Consider the following 5,870-nt stretch of genomic DNA (forward strand, 5'->3'; position numbering starts at 1 on the left):
CCAAGCAAAAATGTTTTAAGAGCACATTTCTTTCTTTTTCTTTTTTCTTTCTTTTTTCTTTTTTTTGAGACGGAGTCTCACTCTGTTGCCCAAGCTGGAGTGCAGTGGTGCAATCTCGGCTCACTGCAACCTCCACCTCCTGGGTTCAAGCGATTATCCTGCCTCAGCCTCCCCAATAGCTGGAACTACAGGCACATGCCATCACACCCGGCTAATTTCTATTCCCCATTACACCTAAATTACTCCCCATAAGCCCCTTGTAGATGTGGAATTATGGCCCCTTGGTTTGCTCCTGAGCAAATAATCCTTTGTTTGGAATTGTGGATGACTCCTGGATGGTTGTATATTGTCTAGGGAGCCAAATGAGATCAGCAGAAGTTTTGTCTGCATGAAGTATAGAGGAGGTTAAGCTTCAGACTTGGGCATAATAGATGGGCCTTTCAGTTTAAGTATAAACAGTAACAGTAGGTTATTTGAGGTGAAGAAACATACATGGAAATGGCAACAATGTGCGCCTTTCTTCTTTTTATGAGGCTTTCCTTTTCAGAAAAGTTGAAAATATAACTTTCTCAGTCCTTCCATATTTGATACTGTCACTTGGAGATAATCTTGCTGAAACAGTGTTACTCTACATGTTTTTCTTGTATCCAAAGCAAATACTAGTTTCCAGATCTTTGTATTTTTCAAATAGGACTGTTAGAGTTCTCAATTATGAACTGCATTCATTCTGCTATAGCTAGAAGGCTTGGCAAGTGTTTTATAACAGAACATTGTATACCTTATTAGGTTTGTTACTTTTTTTTTTTTTAAACAGTGGAGATTTGGAAGAACAAGTCAATGGAATGTTTTATTAACACTGTAGCTTGATTTTCTAATAAGGAAAAAATTATTAGACCTGTATTAGCACACCGATCAATTCTTAAAATATATGAAGATAAGGATTGAGTGTTATATTAATAAAACTTTAATTTCTCTTTAGCAGAAGAAATTTCCTCTCCACTATAGTTTGTACTTATTGTTCCTGTTAAAGCCAACTATAAAAGACTAACAAAGCATGTTATAATTTGTCTTCTAACTGGAATATATTGATTTTTTATGTTTTACCAATTTTCCCCATGGAAATAAGAGAAATAAGTCTTGCATTTACTTTACCTGTGGAGTTGAATATTCAGTAGGGACTCTTATCCTGCCATATTTCTCTGGGAACTGCTCATTCTACAGCAGGAATGTCTCCCTCTCCTAATAGTCTTATTTCTATGAAAAGACCCACTTCCAAAGTACTAAGTTGATTGGACCCAGGATTGGAGCTTTCCTCCCCTTCTCAACCTAAGCTGAGCCAATCTGATTCTCTTTCAGGAATTTAGCAGCAGGGCTGAGAGACTGGAATTTGTTCTCTACCTGTGACTGAGCCTTTTGCTTATTATCTTGGAGCTGAGGACATAGCTTGCCTTTGCAAAAGAAAAGATGTCTGATCCCTAACATTAATCGAACCAGGAGCAAGAGTACAAATGGTGGCTCTCATAACTGTGTTTAAATATTTGAAAGGCCATAAATTAAGAAAACAAACTACAAATAAGTTTTTTTTTTTTTTTTAAGACGGGGTCTCACTCACTCTGTCGCCCAGGCTGGAGTGCAGTGGCATGATCTGGAGTGCAGTGGCATGATCTCGGTTCACTGCAACCTCTGCTTCCTGGGTTCGAGTCATTCTCGTGCCTCAGCCTCCTGAGTAGCTGGGACTTCAAGCACCTGCTACCATGCCCAGCTAATTTTTGTATTTTTTGTGGAGATGGTTTCACCATGTTGGTCAGGCTGGTCTTGAACGCCTTATCTCAGGTGATCCACCCCTTTGGCCTTCCAAAGTGCTGGGATTACAGGCGTGAACCACCACACCCAATTCAAAATAAGATCTTTTCTATCTTTATATCTTGACAAATAGATTTTATAACTACGTAGGAGGTGAGGTTTGAACATTTGAAACTCTGTGACCCCTTGGAATTTTACAATGGAAAGTGACTTTTGGGGGAGAGATGCCACGTGGTCTTTTCCCTTTTCCATCAAGTACCACTAAGGGCCACACACTGCATGTACATGGACACCTCAGGATCCTATCCAAGCACCATCCACAATCCCCCCATACAGTTGCCCCTTGACTATGCTTTGGGACCAGAGGGGCACACTGATGGAACAGTCTGCTCTTGGGAAGACAGACCCAGGGAAGAGGCTAGTGCAGGCCTTGGGAATAAACTCAGGTATTTTCTTCCTGAAAATTCTGGGGCCTCAAGTACCCACATCATGTTGTAGAAGGGACTATGTAGACTCTGGAAGGACACAATTTCATAAATGCGTCAGCTCCTTGAGTCATCGAGAAGGGCGTAGATAGGGACAGGAAAGATTGGGGCCCGCTAAAGGCCCTCTTTCATAGCGCTGCTGTTTTTCTGCTCATTTTTTTTTAAAGACACCATGGCATTCTTATATAACATTTCTCCATTTATCTTAAGCTAGTTTGATGTGGTTTATATTAGTTGTAATAAATGAAACCTAGCAAAATCAGGATGCCCAACTAGGAGACTTTGAATTGCTGATCCAATTAGAATTTTATTACCTGAATTTATATATTTATGATGCTTTTAGTGTACAAAGTGATTTCATATTCACTTTATAATTCCCACAGTACCCTATGAGGTAAAAATCTCTTCCCCTTTTGCAGATATAGAAACGGAAGCTCAACTAACTTGTTCAACTTGCCAAACAAGATTCCTTATGGATCTATTTCTTTCCAGACATTGATGTGCCTAAAGAAAGCAATCAGTAGGTGCTAACAGTAAAGCAAAGTGCATGTTAATAGGAAAGCATCTCTTCTCACAAAAACTATTAAGAAAAGAGAAAAAAATAGGCAAAAATATCATTTTTGAAAAATAGACAAAAACATCATGCAAATGTTAGTCAGGTGTGGTGGCCCAAGCTGCAATTCCAGCACTTTGGGAGGCCAAAGTGGGCAGTTGCCTTGAACCCAGGAGTTCGAGACTAGTCTGGACAACTTAATGAAACCCCATCTTTACAAAAAATACAAAAATTAGCCAGGCACAGTGGTGCACAACTGTATTCCCAGCTACTCTGGAAGCTGAGGTGGGAGTATCACCTAAGCCCAGAGAGGTTAAGGCTGCAATGAGCTGTGATTGCGCCACTGCACTCCAGCCTAAGTGACAGAGCAACACCCTGTCTAAAAAAAAATGCAAATGGTAAGAATCAGAGACTTCAGCTGGTAGTGTCCTTTCATTTGGTGGCCTGCACCCGGTGCTAAGCTAGAAGTATACTTTCTAAGTGTGGGTGTGCAAGATGTAAAGCCAAGAAGGACTTTTTCCAGAGTCAATGGGAATTTGGGATGGGGAGGGGAAGCAGGTATTAAATCTCTAACTGAGGTATGCAGGGATTCTACAGGTAGCTGGTTCTATCTCTGGTTACAGAATGAAAACAAAGGTGTGGAATGTGGGCAGGGCACTCTTCTCTGGTTTTGGCAATCTGCCTCCCTGAAAATGGAGTTGGGGCAGATGCACAGAGCATAAGTCTACTGGTATTTAATAGCACCTTTGAGCAGCCCAAGGAATGGTGGTGGTTGTATGTATGTATGTATGTATGTATGTGTGTGCATATGTGTGTCCTTCAAGCCAACTAATACACTGCAATTATTATGGTGTATTCATTTTCACACTGCTATAAAGATACTATCTGAGACTGGGTAATTTATAAACAAAAGAGGTTAAATTGACTCACAGTTCCACATGGCTGGGGAGGCCTCAGGAAACTTACAATAATGGCACAAGGTGAAGGGAAAACAAGTACCTTCATCACAAGGTGAGAAGAGAGAAAGAGAGAGCTCAAGGGAAACTGCCACTTTTAAACCATCAGATCTCGTGAGAACTATCTCACTATCACAAGAATAGTATGATGGAAACCACCTCCATGATCTAATCACCTACCACCAGGTCCCTTCTTCAAAATATGGGAATGACAATTCAAATGTGAGATGAGATTTGGGTGGGGACACAGAGCCAAACCATATCATTCCACCCCTCTCAACTCCCAAATCTCATGTCCTTTTCACATTTCAAAACCAATCATGTGGCTGGGCGCAGTGGCTCAAGCCTGTAATCCCAGCACTTTGGGAGGTCGAGGCGGGCGGATCACGAGGTCAGGAGATTGAGACCATCCTGGCTAACGTGGTGAAACCCCGTCTCTACTAAAAAATACAAAAAAAATTTAGCCGGGCGTGGTGGCCGGTGCCTGTAGTCCCAGCTACTTGGGAGGCTGAGGCAGGAGAATGGCGAGAACCCGGGAGGCGGAGCTTGCAGTGAGCCAAGATCGCACCACTGCACTGCAGCCTGGGCGACAGTGCGAGAGTCTGTGGGCGACAGTGCGAGAGTCCGTTTCAAAAAAAAAAAACAAAAAAACCAAACATGCAATCATGCATGACTTTGGAAAAGCCATAACTCATTTCAGCATTAACTTAAAAGTCCAAATCCAGCTAGGCACAGTGGCTCACACCTGTAATCCCAGCACTTTGGGAGGCCAAGGCGGGCGGATCACGAGGTCAGGAGATGGAAACCATCCTGGCTAACATGGTGAAATCCTGTCTCTACTAAAAATACAAAAAATCAGCCGGGCATGGTGGTGGGTGCCTGTAGTCCCAGCTACTCGGGAGGCTGAGGCAGGAGAATGGCGTGAACCCAGGAGGCGGAGCTTGCAGCGAGCAGAGATCACGCCACTGCACTCCAGCCTGGGCGACAGAGCAAGACTCCGTCTCAAAAGAAAAAAAAAAAAGTCCAAATCCAAAGTCTCATCTGAGACAAGGCAAGTCTCTTCTCCCTATGAGCCTGTAAACTCAAAAGCAAGTTAGTTACTTCCAAGATACAGTGGGGGTACAGGAATTGGGTAAATGTTCCCATTCCAAATAAGGAGAAATGTGCCAAAACAAGGGGGCCACAGACCCTATGCAAGTCCAAAACCCAGCAGGGCAGTCCTTAAATCTTAAAGCTCTAAAATGATCTCCTTTGACTCAATGTCTCACATCCAGAGCATGCTGATGCAAGGGGTGGGCTCCGAGGGCCTTGTGCAGCTCCGCGCCTGTTGCTCTGCAGGGTACAGCCCCTGTGGCTGCTTTCACAGGCTGGCACTGAGTGCCTGCAACTTTTCTAAGTGCACAGTGCAAGCTGTCAGTGGATATTCTGGGGTCTGGAGGATGGTGGCCACTAGGCTCCACTAGGCAGTGCCCCAGTGGGGACCCTGTGTGAGGGCTCCAACCCCACATTTCCCTTCTGCACTGCCCTAGCAGAGGTTCTCCATGAGGGTTCCACCCTTGCAGCAGATTTCTGCCTGAGCATCCAGGAGTTTTTATACTTCCTCTGAAATCTAGGCAGAAGCTCCCAAAGCTCACCTCTTGCCTTTTGCACACCCACAGGCCCAACACCATGTGTAAGCCACAGAGGCTTGGGGCTTGCACCCTCTGAAGCAATGGCCCTAGCTGTACCCTAGCCCTTTTTAGCCATGGCTGGAGCTGGCATGGCTGGGAGGCAGGGCACCAAGTCCCAAAGCTTCATAGAGCAGTGGGGCCCTGGGTCTGACCCATGAAGCCATATTTCCCACTCTAGGCCTCCAGGCCTGTGATGGGAAGGGCTGCTATGAAGGTCTCTGACATGCCTTAGAGATATTTTCCCCATTGTCTTGGCTATTAACATTCAGCTCCTTGTTACTTATGTAAATTTCTGCAGCTGGCTTGAATTCCTCCTCAGAAAATGGGTTTTTCTATTATATCACATGGACAGGCTTCAAATTTTCCAAACCTTTATGCTCTGCTTCCCTTTTAAACGTAAGTT

General features: G+C 43.9%; 1 annotated feature.

Annotated features, from left to right (window-relative positions):
* Window positions 4,740-5,284: an enhancer, noted in NCBI's record as "H3K27ac-H3K4me1 hESC enhancer chr12:80396803-80397347 (GRCh37/hg19 assembly coordinates)". NCBI's record gives its function as "activates a minimal SCP1, AML or CMV promoter by ChIP-STARR-seq in naive H9 embryonic stem cells {active_cell/tissue: H9 hESC(naive)}" and the evidence as "EXISTENCE:reporter gene assay evidence [ECO:0000049][PMID:30033119]".

This window comes from Homo sapiens, chromosome 12, assembly GCF_000001405.40.
Source record: "Homo sapiens chromosome 12, GRCh38.p14 Primary Assembly".
NCBI lineage: Eukaryota > Metazoa > Chordata > Mammalia > Primates > Hominidae > Homo > Homo sapiens.